The sequence below is a fragment of the Homo sapiens genome, chromosome 3, assembly GCF_000001405.40.
Source record: "Homo sapiens chromosome 3, GRCh38.p14 Primary Assembly".
Lineage (NCBI taxonomy): Eukaryota > Metazoa > Chordata > Mammalia > Primates > Hominidae > Homo > Homo sapiens.
The window spans coordinates 44,828,406-44,844,434 of record NC_000003.12 but is presented as its reverse complement, the minus strand read 5'-3'; the positions used below and the strand labels follow the sequence as shown (position 1 = coordinate 44,844,434).

The window sequence follows — 16,029 nt, the reverse complement described above, 5'->3', positions numbered from 1 at the left end:
TATGAAAACTAGGTGAGCAGACTGTGGACTACCTACATCAGAATCACCTACAAAGGGAGGCACGTGCTTTTTTAAAATGCAGAATTCTGGGCTTCGCTCCAGCCCTACTGAATAAGATCTCTGATGCTCACTAAAATTTGAAGAGAATCATTTAAGAAGAGATTTTAGCATAGCCACCATTACCATCCTCAAATCTCTCCTGCCTCATTTAGGTTTTGAACAACTCATATCAGGGGTGTTTCTGGACAGGGCCAGGGAGCTGCAGGAGTGCACAAGCTTCTCTGTCAAAGATGTTGTGGCAACAGCATGGACAGCAGTCAGTGGAATTCGGTAAGGGCTTCTATCTCGGAGATCCCACTTTGATTCAATTCGACTTCTTGCATAATTTTACAGGCCACTATCATCTCCAAACTCTCACTCAGAAAGTTACAATAGGCAGAATCATAATTCTACCTTGTGTACTTAATAACTACTTTTCATTGACTGACACCTGCTACCAAACACTGTAACTGGCACTTTATACATGTAATTTTTAATCTTTAAAACTCCTTGTGAGAAAATGAACATTTTCTTCATTTTATTGTTAAGGAAAGTGAAGTACTAAAAGGGTAAAAAATATGTTGAAAATCGTATGACTTTTAAGTCAAAGACAAGATATAAGTCTGGATATGGCTGCCCCGACACTATGCAAATGTATCGGCAAATGCAACTACAAAACTGCCTTACCTGAAGCCAAAACACACTCAGAGAGATGTCTAAATCCAAGTGAATGCTCCTCTGTAAAATGCTAAGGATATCCTTCTTGTCCTGCCCAGGGGCTTTCCCTGGACCATGAGTTACGAAGCAAAGCCAACTAGTAGGGAATTCTCCCTTTCTCTGCAAGGCTTCTTGAACCTTGTCGATATTATATATACCTTAAAAAAATTTTTTTAAATATAAGTAATTTGTTTTAAGTATCTCACATGTTTTAAATTCATTTCAATCACTTTAAAACAAATGCAACAATGCCAAAAACGCACTGCAGAGCAATGCAAAGGTGAACAGATCAGACTTGATTCAAAATCAACCAAAAGACCATCTCCTGGATTAGTGGGAAACATTGTACACCTTGGGAAACCTGTGAAACCAATTCCAACCTCATTTAACTCCACACAGGCAGGCCAAGATTTAGCCCATAGAGTTCTCGTGGTTCTTTCTCACCTGTTTTCCTTTTGTCTTTTAATATCATCCAGCTGACCTTGCAGGAGCCAGTTTTTCTCTATTAACTGCTGACTTTCCAGGCGTAGGTTTTCCATTTCACGCAACTGCTCCTAATAACATCAAATCGTATCTTTTCAAAAAACACATTACAGTAGGCTTCATTTAGCTCCCCAAGGCCACCACTGAGACAGGTATTCCTCTTTTAAGTTCCTATGCAGAGACACTGCACTGGGTATTGCTGCATGAAAAGCAGACTGTGACAAGCTATTGGAGGCCTAGAATGGTGATTCATGATCACATCCACAGTGTCTTGAACACAGATTTTTAAAATCAATATCACAGAATTCATTAAAAATTAAAATTCCTTTGTGAATAAAGATGACAAAAATCTCTATATTGAAAAATGTTCTCAACTATTCGATTCTATTTATTACGTAGATTCTAATTAAAACAAAAAATTGACGTCACAGCTCATCCCTCAAAATACTCAATTGCATCCTAACTTGAAAATCATGAGCATAGCTATCTGGAAGAAATAAATACTTGTCTGCAAGGAATATCCTTTTGGATTTACTTGCCTATTATCTGATTTCGTTTCACCTGACCCAGTTTCTTCTAAGTTTCAAGATCATGGCAATCTGGATAACAGCCACATTCCTGAGATAGCATACTGAGAACTGCCCTAAATAAAAAGATTGGGAATAATCTTCTCCATGAATAACAAAACTCAAGATAAGTGCTGTCTTTATATACATCCCTTGGTTAAAGTGAACAATTTGTGTTCCTAAACAAAAACTCCCTGCAGAGCAATGACCTCACAGGATAAATGCTATCTTCTGTGGAGCATCACATCCTTCCCCATGCACCTACACACCTACCCAGACACTCTTCCATGTGCCCCACCCCTGAGCCATGTGCACACCCCACTACTCAGACAACATACCATCAAGTAACTGGGTAAAAACACTATGAGGAAGCTTAAAAAAATGGAAAACAAGAAAGTATTTTAAATTTATCAGAGACTAAAAAAATCTCTAATATATAAAAATGCCTATGAATCAATAAGAAAAAGTCCAGTGATAGAAAAATGGGTAATGGATATTGTTCACAGAAACAGAAAAACAAGATGCTCAATTTTACTCTTAAGAAAAATATAAATGTAAAACTACATCATTTAATACTTTAGCTATTAAACGGACAAAGATCCGAAATTCAGATAGCACCATGAGGTGAGGTTTAAGGAAACATGCTCTCACCTTCATTCCTGATGAGAGCATAGCTGGCGCAACCTGTATATGACACCATTGTGTAAAAACCAAATGGGGCAGGAGAGAATGCTTAGCGATGTGGTTATGTATGCATTAAAAAGCTCTAAAAGAAAGGGGCTACCCTGGAAGCCTCCAGGGACAGCAAAGTAGGTGGATTAGTATCAGGGGTAGAAGGAATACTTTTCTCTGTCTACCTTTCAGTTCTGTGCTTTTTGAATTTTGTATCCTCAGTAACCATGAGGATGCTGCTTAGTTTAAAAAATTAAATTGGCCAGGCGCGGTGGCTCACACCTGTAATCCCAGCACTTTGGGAGGCTGAGGTAGGCGGATCATGAGGTCAGGAGATCAAGACCATCCTGGCTAACACAGTGAAACTCCGTCTCTACTAGAAAATACAAAAAATTAGCCGAGTGTGGTGGCGGGCGCCTGTAGTCCCAGCTACTCGGGAGGCTGAGGCAGGAGAACGCTGTGAACCTGGGAGGCGGAGCTTGCAGTGAGCCAAGATCACACCACTGCACTCCACCCTGGGCGACAGAGGCAGACTCCGTCTCAAAAAAAAAACAAAAAAAAAAAAATTAAATTTACTGGCTGGGCATGGTGGCATATACCTATAGTGCCAGATACTGGGTGGCTGAGGCAAATGGATCACTTGAGCCCAGCCTGGGCAACATAGCGAGACTTGGTCTCTTTAAAAATAATTAAATTTACTGGAAAAAAAATCCAATTACCTTCATTCTGAGGATTTCAGCATTTTTGACTTCTCTGTCTTCATTTAGCTTTGTTACAAGGTGTTCCAAAGAAGTCTTAGAGGCTCTTCCATCTTCTATCTCTTGTTCTTGTGTTTCCAGGAGTTTTGCCAAATGTGTTTGAAAGTGAGGTGGTGTCTTAGGACTCTAAAATAAAATCACATCTCATCCAAATATCCAATTAAGTGATATTATAAAGATTTCTTTTAAACGTAAATGTCAAGTACATAAAAAATATTCTAGCTACGGCTGGGCATGGTGGCTCACACCTGTAATCCTAGCACTTTGGGAGGCCGAGGTGGGCGGACTGCCTAAGCTCAGAAGTTCAAGACCAGCCTAGGCAACACAGTGAAACCCTGTCGCTACTAAAATACAGAAAAAAAAATTAGCCAGGCGTGGCAGTGTGCACCTGTAGTCCCAGCTACTTGGGAAGCTGAGGCAGGAGAATTGCTTGAACCTGGGAGACGGAGGCTGCAGTGAGCCGAGATCATGCCACTGCACTCCAGCCTGGGTGACAGAGCAAGACTCCATCTGCCAAAAAAAAAAAAAAAAAAAAAAAAAAAAATCCGCTGCTTAGCTTATTATTCTAATTCTTTTCCAAGGAAATAAAAGACTGCTACTTTCATCAAGTAAAAAGCAGACAGAGGGTATTAGTGAAAATCTTTTTCTTTAAAAAGACAAAGGTATGTTCTTCCTAATTTCCAAATTTTTATCATTTACAAAACTGTTTCTTCCTCCTGAAATAATCTTTTTCTGAAAAGTACCTGGGGATCCTCAGCAGCAGAATCCATCACATGTTCTAGTTGCCTCATTTTGAAGTTATATTCATTCTTCTTCTGTTCTACTTCCTCTTTCTTTTGGTTTAGCTGGGAAAATTGAACAGATACAAGGTTACAACTTAGTAATATGGGGTACATGGTCCAAATAGAAAAGACAAACTTCCCATCACCAATCATCAGGGAAATGCAAATGAAAACCACAATGAGATATCACTTCGCACCTGATAGGGATGGCTATCATCAAAAAGATGAAAGTTAAGTGTTGGTGAGGTTGTGGAGAAAAGGGATCCTTGTATACTGTTGGGAATGTAAATTAGCACAGCCATTGTGAAAAATAGTATGGAAGTTCCTCAACAAACTAAAAACAGAACTACTGTATGATCCAGCAGTCCCACCTCTGGATATATATCCAAAGGAATTAAAATCAGTCTATTGAAGAGACAGCGGCACTCCCATGTTCTCTGAAGCATTATTCGTAATAGCCAAGCTATGGAGTCAACTTAACTGTCTATTGATGGGAGAATGGGTAAAGAAAATGTGCTATATATATACACAATGAAATACTACTTAGTCTTAAAAAGGAAGCAAATTCTGTCATTTGTGACAACATGGATGAACCTGGAGGACACTGTTCCAAGTAAAATAAGCCAGCACAGAAAGACAAATACCACACAATCTCACTTATATGTGGAATCAAAAAAAGTTGAACTCATAGAAATGGAGAGTACCAGAGTCTGGGGGAAGTGAGGGGTGGAAGGAGACATGAATCAGCAATGGGAGATGTTGGTCAAAGGGTATAGTTTCAGTTGGACAGGAGGAATACCTTTTGGAGATCTACTGCAGGGCATGGTGATTACAGTTATTAGGTTGATGCAAAAGTAATTGCGGTTTCTTCCCATGGCATATGGAAATATGCTGTATTTACATTATTTTTTCAGAACTTGATTAATAATTTGAAAAGCAGTAAGATATTAAAATAAACCTATGATATTTTTAAAAGTAATTGTGAAATCTAACTTGGTTGCTACTATAACCCAATCATCATCTCCTTTTCTTTTCTTTTTTTTTTGAGATGGAGTCTCTCTCTGTCGCCCAGGCTGGAGTGCAGTGGCGCGATCTCGGCTCACTGCAAGCTCCGCCTCCCGGGTTCACACCATTCTCCTGCCTCAGCCTTCCCGAGTAGCTGGGACTACCGGAGCCGGCCACCACGCCCGGCTAATTTTTTTTGTGCTTTCAGTAGAGACGGGGGTTCACCGTGTAAGCCAGGATGGTCTTGATCTCCTGACCTCGTGATCCACCCACCTTGGCCTCCCAAAGTGCTGGGATTACAGGTGTGAGCCACCGCACCTGGACCCATCTCCTTTTCTCTCACAAATTTATTTATACTTATAAAAATGTTCCAAGTTTCACAAGTAACAAAACAGTCATCTGAGAAAAATACAAAATATAAAATGACAACAACAACCACCAAAAATATGATAAAAGTCAGGCATAACCTCACTGGAGTGGTTAGAACTGGTTGCCATGTGTCAAGGACCTAAGGTGGGTGGGAGGCAGCTGAGCAAGTCTCAGTCCAGGTAAGGATACTCCATTAGCCTCCCCTTTGTACATGGAGAAGTTGGCCAATGCAGGAATGTCATGACAACCTCAACTGTGGATTCCTCCTGTCCCCCATTTTTTTTTTTTTTTTTTTTGAGACAGGGTCTCACTCTGTCACCCAGGCTGGAGTGCAGTGGTGCAATCTTGGCTCATTGCAACCTCCACCTCCCAGGTTCAAGCAATTCTTGTGCCTCAGCCTCCCAAGTAGCTGGGATTACAGGTGAGCGCCACCACGCCCGGCTAACTTTTCTATTTTTAGTAGAGACAGGGTTTCAGTTCACCATGTTGGCCAGACTGCTCTTGAACTCCTGACTTCAAGTGGTCCACCCCCTTGGCCTCTCAAAGTGCTGGGATTACAGGAGTGAGCCACTACACTTGGTCTCTTGTCTCCCATCTTGAGTGACACCTGTGTGTTTCTCACCTTGTGCTGAAGTTCCTGAATCAGGGCTTCCTTCTTGGTCAGTTCTTCCTGGGCAGACTGCAGCAGCCCCGAGTGTTTTTTTGAGGCCTCTGTGAGCATGTTCAGCTGCTCAGTGGCATGAGCCAGGTCCTCACAGAGCATATCCCTCTGTTAGGAGACAATCATCACAGTTTCTTAATTATGGTATTCCAATAAGGATTCCCAAATCATTACTATGTACAACTTTTAACAGACTAAGGAAGTTTTATGTAAAAACCTATTTCTTTTGCTTGTGTGCTAATCCATTCTAAGACAAAGTAATCAGTTAATATTTAGATGAACAGGTCTAGAGATTAACATTATTACAGTAAACATATATAGGTATCCCAATTGAGGTTTAACTGTACTCTAGGTTTGAGGTCTAATTGCATTCTCTCCTCACCCCCAGGATCTCAAGCCAATCTCCCTCTCCTGGGGAGGACTCAAAGGTCTCTTGGTTACTTGTTGTTGTCTCACCAATTGACTCTAGTCCTTTATATACTGGAAAGTAAACAGCTGTGAAGATGAGCCTCCATCAGCCAGTTGAGGAGGGCCTGGGCAGTTTGCACCAGATTGTGATTCATTGTCATAGACCATCAAAGTTTCAGGAAGTAGCTTTGTGGAAACTGGCACAGAAAATTAGAAGTCCTATAGGTTGCATACATAATTTCTATGTACACAGTATATGTAATTCCTCCCAAATTAGAGCAGATACTGCTTATCCTTCTTTTCCTTTCCAAATGTATATATATGTATGTAGGTATGTGTGTGCATGTATATATATATATACACACACATATATATGTGTGTACATAGACATGTACATATACATGGATATACACAGATATATATACACACATATAAACACACACTTTTAAAAAAACTTGACACATCACAAACATTTCTGCATGTACTCACTCTTTTCACTGTGTGGACTCCATTTCACCTTATGGATGTACCACAATTTAATCTATCACTAAATATTTTGGTTGATTTGAATTTTTCACTATTCTATGCACTTCATTCTTGTATCTAGATTATTTCTTTAGGCTGAATTTTTAAAAGTGCAAACTCAAAGGATATGTAAAAAATATAAGGCTATGTATTACCAGACTACCTCCCCAAAGGCTGAACATAAACTCCTCCAGAAGTTTGAGTAATCATCCTTGTCTGCACATCTTCCTTGGGTCTTAAACTTTACCAGTTATAAGATTAGAAAATAGCTGTTATTTTAATTTGTGAAACTGGCCCAACTGTCCCCTAGAACTGATGTTTATGGTTTCTTTTGAATAAACATAGAAATTGGCCCTCCCAGTCTTAAAACGTAAGAAAGTTACATTTGTCTTATCTGAGTTCCTTTCTCAGGGAACCAACCAACAGGCATCCCAGACAAGATCAAGGAACTGAAACTTACCAGATCATGGCAACTGGACAAATGAGATGCCAGGCCCCTCACCTGTCATGGCTGCCTAACTGACAACCTGTTTCCTGTTAACCAACTCCTTTTCCTTACCCCTCCCTAGTTCCTGCTTTTCCACACATGGTTACCTTTCTTGCTATATAAACTCCCAATTTTAGTCAGTCAGGGAGAAGGATTTGAGACTGATCTCCTATCTTGGCTATGGCACTCATTTAAAGTCTTCTTCGCTGGCAATACTCCTTGACTCAGTGATTGGCTTTCTGTGTGGTAAGCAACCAGACCTAGGCTGAACTCCTAATGTTTCAGGAACATTTGCATGTCTCTGATTCCAAAGAAGTTTTGTGCCACTATATTCCTTCTTTGGGGAGCTACCTATGTCCATTTTCCACCAGCTGTGTTTCTATCCTTCTCCTGAAGGATAAATTAAGGTGGTAAAATACTTTGTCATCAGTTGCAAATATTTTCCCCATCTGTTGTTAGAATTTTTGTTTTTAATATTGTATAATCTTCCCTTATGAGTTCTAATCTTTATATCAAGATATTTTCAGAGTCACATAAACTCAAGATATTTTTATGTATTTGTATTTTTTCTTCTCCTTAAAAAAAAATTATTTATTTATTTATTTTTTTAGACAGAGTCTTGCTCTGTCGCCCAGATAGAGTGCAGTGGCGTGATCTCATCTAACTGTAACCTCCACCTCCCAGGTTCAAGCGATTCTCATGCCTCAGCCTCCTGAGTAGTTGGGATTACAGGTGTACACCACCACACCTGGCTAATTTTTCTAATTTTTGTATTTTTAGTAGAGATGGGGTTTCGTCATGTTGGGCAGGCTGGTCTTGAGCTCCTGGCCTCAAGTGATCCACCTGCCTTGGCCTCCCAAAGTGCTGGGATTACAGGTGTGAGTCACCGTGCCCATCCCTCCTTTTGTTTTTTCAGAGATGGGGGCTCTTGCAACAACATTACCCAGGCTGGACTTGAACTACTGGACTCAAGCAATTGTCCCATGTCAGCCTCCTGAGTAGCTGGGACTACAGGCGTGCATTACCATGCCTGGCTTGTATTTTTATTTTCTAGTACTTCTATGATGTCATCATTTGTACAGAACTCTAATCCATGTAAAAATTGTTTTGGCTTTGATATCTTTTCAAATTGGTCAGACAATTTTCCCAACATATACATTGATTAAACCGACTCTTTCTTCACTGTTGAGAAATACTTCCTTTACCATTACACTAAATTCCTTCATATTCACTGCTCTCTATTTGTGGATGTTCAAAGTTGTTGCAATGATCTCTCTATCATCAGTCCAACACTGGATATGGTTACCATTTAGCTTAGAAATCTCTCTGCATTATTGTTTTTCTAAGTTTTGTTGGTAAATCTTGGGTATTTTTTTCAAAGGAACCTTAAAATCATCAGTTTTTTATACTGGGATTTGAGGCCAGGCATGGTGGCTCACACCTGTAATCCTAGCAATTTGGGAGGCTGAGGCAGGGGAGGATCACTTGGGTTTAGGAGTTCGAGACCAGCGTGGGCATCATAGTGAAACCTCATCTCTACAAAAAAATACCAAAAATTAGCCAGGCGTGGTGCTGCACATCTGTAGTCCCAGCTACTTGGGAGGCTGAGGTGGCAGGATCACTTAAGCCCAGGAGTTCAAGGCTGCAGTGAGCCATGATCGCATTACTACATTCCAGCCTGGGTAACAAAACAAGACCCTGTCTCAAAAAAATAAAAATAAATACATTGGGATTTGAAGTGGAATTACATAAATTTCTGTTTCTAAAACGACAGGGTCTTCCTGTCCAAGTCTCCCTTTAGATCCTTTTATTGAAGTCTCTTTTCATGTTGCTTGTAAAGTTTTATGTTCTTAACAATTGTCAAATATTCACCCTAAGATTTTGATACGCTATATTATTTCTGTGAAAGAGAATTTTTAAAAGCTCCTGTTATGTTTTTAAACTGTTTATTTAATATTATATATTATTTTAATTATAACATAATATTATATAATAATCTATAATAAAGCTATTCTTTATTATTATTTTTTGAGATGGAGTATCGCTCTGTCGCCCTAGCTGGAGTGCAGTGGCGCGATCTTGGCTCACTGCAACCTCTGCCTCCTAGGTTCCAGCGATTCTCCTACCTCAGCTTCCCAAGTAGCTGGGACTATAGGCACGTGCCACCACGCCCAGGTAATTTTTTTTTTTTTTTGTATTTTTAGTAGAGACGGGGTTTCACCGTGTTAACCAGGATGGTCTCGATCTCCTGACCTTGTGATCCACCTACCTCAGCCTCCCAAAAAGTGCTGAGATTACAGGCGTGAGCCACAGTGCCCAGCCCCAGTAAAGCTATTCTTTCTTTAATATTCAATTTCTTTCAATATCCCTTAGGGAAGTTTTATGTCCTTAACAGTTGTTACAAATTCTCTCCTAACGTTTTAACACTTTTGGTTGTTTTTGTGAATAGAATTTTTTAGTTCCAATATTGTTAAATGGTTATTAATGGCACATAGTAAATATTATTTTTAAGACTAATTTATAACTGATTACTAAACTCAATATTCTAATAGATATTCAGACAGTATTTTGGAGTCTCCATGTAGACACTCATGACCATCTGCAAATAACAGTCACTTTCTCTCAGTTTTTATGATATTTGTATCCCACTTAGTATTTCCATTTTACTGCATTGGCTAAGTACTCATATTGTTGAAAAACACTGATATATGAACAATTTGAATATACTGAACAATTCACAAACCATAGCCATAAAACTAAATTTTAGCTAATAAAGACTGAAGATAAGTACAAAGGGAATATGAATTAGCTGTTTATAGGGTCAATTCCACTTGAATCTAAAATGTATGAATCTAAAATACGATATTTAAATCTAAATACAATATTCGTAGTCACATTTTATTTTTAAGAAGAAAAAAGAGAGAAAGCAAGGAAGGAAGGAAAGAAGAGCTTTTAGGTAAACAGGCATGAGTTTTCATTATTTACCTACTCCCACTCAAATAGCTAGATTTCCTTTTAACTTCGTCAATAGTCAGTATGAAACTGAATTTTTAGCCCATCATCTTATACTTTGTAGGGGACCCTAGGTTGTGGCTTCTGTGTACTAACTTTTCAATTGGCTTGCTAAAACTATTTCCATCTGACACATATTGAGCAGTTACAAGGAGCCAGACACAGTTCTCAGCACTTTCCATGTATTACCTCAGTTCATCTCTGCAACACCTTATGCCAGCGGCCCCCAGCCCCTAGGCCACAGACTGCTATCAGTCTGTGGCTTGTTAGGAACTGGGCTGCACAGCAGGAGGAAAGCGAGCACAGCTTCATCTGTATTTACAGCCATTCCCCATCGCTCGCATTACTGCCTGAGCTCCGCCTCCTGTCAAATCAGTGGCAGCATTAGATTCTCACAGAAGCATTAACTCTATTGCAAACTGCGTGCCAGGGATCTCGTTTGGGCACTCCTTATGAGAATCTAATGCCTGATGATTTGTCACTATTTCCCATCACCCCTGGATAGGACCATCTAGTTGCAGGAAAACAAGCTCAGGGCTCCCACTGATTCTACATTACGGTGAGTTGTACAACTATTTTATTATATATTACAATGTAAATATAATAATAGAAATAAAGTACACAGTAAATGTAATGTGCTTGAATCATCCAGAAACCAGCCCCCCTCACACTCCTGGTCTAAGGAAAAATTGTCTTCCACTAAACTGGTCCCTGGTGCCAAAAAGGCTGAGGACCACTGCCTTATGCAGTAGGAAGTACTGTTATCTCTACAGATATGGCAAATGAAGCACAGGGAGAAATTTAACTTCCCCAAGGTCACACAGCTAGAATTCCAACTCCGTAGCCTGTGCTCTTAATAACTTGTTACTATTCTACCCTTACTTTCCTTTTATTCTAATTTTTGTTGTCTACTTTAATCTTCTTTTTTTTTTTTTTTTTTTGAGATGGAGTCTCGATCTGTCACCCAGGCTAGAGTGCAGTGGCATGATCTCAGCTTGCTGCAACCTCTGCCTCCTGCAACCATTTTCCTGCCTTGGCCTCCTGAATAGCTGGGATTACAGGCACGCACCACCACACCTTGCTAATTTTTGTAGTTTTAGTAGGGATGGGGTTTTACCATGTTGGCCAGGCTGGTCTGGAACTCCTGACCTCAAGTGATCCACCCGCCTCGGCCTCCCAAAATGCTGGGATTACAGGTGTGAGCTACCACGTCCAGCCTATTTTAATCTTATATCTTATGTGTGTTAGCAGCTTCAAATCCTTTCTGCGATGTAGCAAGATATAAATACAAATTACTGGGAATAGCCATCTTGGATATCTACCCCACAGGTCCTTAAAATTCAAAACTGGTATGTATAAAATGCATCTCATTAACTTTCTGTGGGCCTCTATTCTTTCCATCTGAAATGTGCACAGAACCATTCAGTCCTCCAGGCTAGAAAGCTTGGTGCCCACTCTGACTGCTTCTTCCCTTCATGGTACATATCCAACTGGACACCAACAACTGTCACCTGTAGCTCTGAAACATTTCCCAACTCTATCTCACCCCCTATCCCCACTAGCATTTCTTAGCTCTGACTTCATGACCTTCTGCCTGGGTTCAATGTCTATGCAGTTTTGGTTTCCTAAAAGATACAGCTGACGTTCCTCAAGACACTTCACTACACAGGCTCAGTCTGCCCCCACTTCACTGCCAGCACCTTGTATTGGCCACCCTGACTGCCTGCTGTGCTTGGGACACTCCACACATGTTCACACTGCCAAGCTTCCCTCTCTGGCAAAGTTGTGTACAAATACTCTCTCTTCTGAGGAGGTCTTTAGAATTTCCCCTGGCAGAATTACTCCCCTCCCTCCCTTTTCTGTGCCCCCAGGTTATTACATCATATTACACATATCTCTTAAGCTAGAATGCATGCTTTGATGTAAGTAACAGTGTTTTTCAATCATCTTTCCATTCCCAAATGCCAGGCCGGGTACAGGTTGTATAGTAGGTGGATTCAATATTTGTTGAATTTGTTTCATGGGTAGCATAGGTTAGCCAAAACCCCTTTATTTCTAAAGCAAATATAGAACAATTTATACAATAGGTTATCATCTGTGTGGGGAAAAAAGTAAGGCTAAAAGTATATAGGATTGCTTAAAATATCTCTTGAAAGTTACACAAGAAACTGAAAACATGGGGGTAGCTGAGGAATAGGAAGGGCTGGAAGAAAATCCATATTGCTCCTAGCTTATATACTAATTTTTAAAAAGATAAGTTCACATCATCAACAACAAAAAAACTTCCTTTAGCTGTAGGTTACAAATTAACCTGTACTGCTTAATTTTTAAAAAGATAAATCTACATCAAAAAAACAAAAATAAAACTTATCTTCGCTAAAATGCAAAAGACAACCCTGAAATCAGCCTGTTTAAACAGCCCTTTTCTGCTATCTGCTACTATCACTGCATCCAATTAAATGCAGTTTCCACTCTGCTCCCCTTACAGGGGTCAGTTATAGGAAGTTAACGTGGTGTCAGCAAAAATGACGGAAAATAGATTAGCTAGATAAAATATAATAATTTTGGTGAAATTATTATACATGACTATTTGTATTATTATACACTATACAATAATACATTAGTAGTATACAAATACTATCTCCTCAAAGGAGACAGTATATGTATAAGACTGCCAGAGGAGGAAGCTTGGCAGCGTGAACGTGTGTGGAGTATCTCAGGCACAGCAAGCAGTCAGGGTGGCAGCATGAGGTGCAGGCAGTGAGGTAGAGGTAGAATGAGCCTGTGTAGTGAAGCGTCTTGAGGCACATCAGCTGTATAAGAATTATTTCTTTAAAAATCCTGTATTTATTCATTAATAACTTCCACACACAAATACACATATTGACAAGTAATAAGGCAAACAAAGAAGCTGTGATGCGTTAATACCTACCTCTATGTCCTCAGAAAGTATTCTCAGCCTAAGGGTTTCTTTCAGATCCAGAATATCCACTTCCTGCTTCTTGATCAACACTCTGCTCTCTTCTCTGTCAACCAAAGCAGAGTTGTATTTGCACTGTAGAAAAGAAAGTCATGCTATAAGAGCCATTTTATTTCCTGTTTCTAGATTAAAATAACAAGAATGAGTCTGGGTTCCAAGGTGATGACAAGATTAACACAAGATAATTCAATAAATACTTGCTGACTGAAGGAATAGAAGAATAAGTGCATGAATGGTGAAGAGAAATGGAAAAGTCCTCTAAGTATCAGTGAAAAAAACACAGGGTTTGTCATCTACTGCCTTCAGAAATAAACATGGAGTGCAGCAAGCTCCCTGTAGAGCAGAGGAGTGAGGAGGAGTGACAAAAGCCTTCGCCTCGACCCAGAGGAGAAAAGCATCAACACTGAACTCAGATACATGCTGACAAAATAAGTAGTTAACTTTAGGAAATGATATTATGTCCAATATTGCGGAAACGAACTCACTTTCTAATTAATGTCTCTGAACTTAACTGCAATGTGCTACTGTGTTACTTTTTCCTCAAAGCCACTAAAAAACACCACATTTGCCTTAACTGTTACGGCCAGCAACCAGCCTGTTTCTTATTCAGTTTATACCGGCATTCCCAAACAGTGCACAGAGAACATTGTCCCAGATCAGTGAAACCTGAGAAACACTGCAGCCTACATTGTCCCCCAGAGATACATACTACACACTTCCATAATGACTCTGCAAGTCCTACAAACACACAAACCTGTTGAGCTTTATTTAACTAGAATTTCCAAACTTATTTGACCACAGAATCTTTTTTCTGGTGGAGCATCTGTTAAACTCTTGAAAAGTCTGTGAAGTGTCCCATGCTCAAATTTAACATCTTGTTGGTGACCGAACTTACATTTATGTCCTTCAGTTCTTGTTTCAGGGTGTCTATAGTTTCTGTTTTCTCACAGACCGATGTTCTTAGCTCCTGGATCTGGTTCATGAGGTCAGCTACAACTTTCTGATGAGGACAGAAATAATATCTTCATACCCAATGACATTAAGGAGAAGAAAATTTTTAAATGGTAAATCACTTATCTTTCCTAATGGCAATATAAGTCAATTTTATTTTAGTAAAAGATCGTATGTCACATTAGTATCAATTTATATATATAATATATATACATATATTATATATGCATATATTATATATATACATCTATAATATATATACATCTATAATATATACATATATAATATATACATCTATAATATATATACATCTATAATATATATACATCTATAATATATATACATATATTATATATACATAATATATACATATATAATATATACATATATAATGTATATACATATATAATATATATGCATATATAATATATAATATATACATATATAATATATACATATATAATATATACATATATAATATATACATATTATATACATATAATATATATGCGTATATTATATATGCATATATTATATACACATATTATATACATATATATTATATATGCGTATATAATATATACATATATATTATATATACATATGTAATATATATACATACACACACACACACACACACACACATATATATATATATTTTTTGAGATGGAGTCTCGCTGTGTTGCCCAGGCTGGAGTGCAGTGGCGCGATCTCGGCTCACTGCAAGCTCCGCCTCCCGGGTTCACGCCATTCTCCTGCCTCAGCCTCTCGAGTAGCTGGGACTACAGGCACCTGCCACCATGCCCAGCTAATTTTTTGTATTTTTAGTAGAGATGGGGTTTCACCATGTTAGCCAGGATGGTCTCGATCTTCTGACCTCGTGATCCACCCGCCTCAGCCTCCCAAAGTGCTGGGATTACAGACATGAGCCACTGCGCCTGGCATCAATTTATATTTTAATGGCTTTATAATTTTTTTTTTTGAGACAGAGTTTCGCTCTTGTTGCCCACACTGGAGTGCAATGGTGTGATCTTGGCTCACTGCAACCTCCACCTCCCAGGTTCAAGCAATTCTCCTGCCTCAGCCTCCCGAGTAGCTAGGATTACAGGCATGTGCCACCACACCTGGCTAATTTTGTACTTTTAGTAGAGATGGGGTTTCTCCATGTTGGTCAGGCTGGTCTCGAACTCCTCACATCAGGTGATCCACCTGCCTTGGCCTCCCAAAGTGCTGGAATTACAGGCGTGAGCCACTGTGCCCAGTCTATAATATTTCATTTAATCATTTGTTTTGGTTTTATGAATGTATATGAGCTAGACATAGAAGAATTTTATACGTAATTTAAACTTGGACATACAGACTATTTTTATTATTTTAGTTAAAGTCAACACCAGGAATTTGAAAATTTGTATCATGGGACTTAGAGTCAACAAGAAAGGGTCACACTAATATCAGCATCCTAGTTAAAAGGGTAGGATGCGTTTTAGAAACACTGCCATCCAAAGTGACAGTAGTTTGTACTTGAAGTTACATGGCAAATTAAGTGGAAGACCTCATTCTCTAGGAACCTTGGAGGATGAACAAGGCTTAACTGCATATAGAAATATTCATATT

General features: G+C 39.2%; 1 protein-coding gene across 16 annotated transcripts in view; it reads right to left on the bottom strand.

Moving 5' to 3' along the window:
• Window positions 1-16,029, bottom strand: part of KIF15 (kinesin family member 15) — a 106,894-nt gene that overhangs the window by 24,253 nt on the left and 66,612 nt on the right. For 11 of the 16 annotated variants that reach the window (XR_007095708.1, XM_017006884.3, NM_020242.3 and 8 more), the window contains 6 exons: window positions 14,360-14,464; window positions 13,417-13,539; window positions 6,014-6,160; window positions 3,979-4,080; window positions 3,197-3,361; window positions 1,201-1,310 (listed from right to left, as the gene is read on the bottom strand). Coding sequence is in view for 11 of the 16 variants with exons in the window: in XM_017006884.3 (XP_016862373.1) it covers window positions 1,201-1,310; window positions 3,197-3,361; window positions 3,979-4,080; window positions 6,014-6,160; window positions 13,417-13,539; window positions 14,360-14,464 (752 nt within the window). In the remaining 5 variants the exon portion in view is untranslated. Of the gene's footprint in view, window positions 1-726; window positions 915-1,200; window positions 1,311-3,196; window positions 3,362-3,978; window positions 4,081-6,013; window positions 6,161-13,416; window positions 13,540-14,359; window positions 14,487-16,029 lie in introns of those variants that run through there. The other 5 variants (XR_007095709.1, XR_007095710.1, XR_001740214.2 and 2 more) reach the window with 3 other exon arrangements.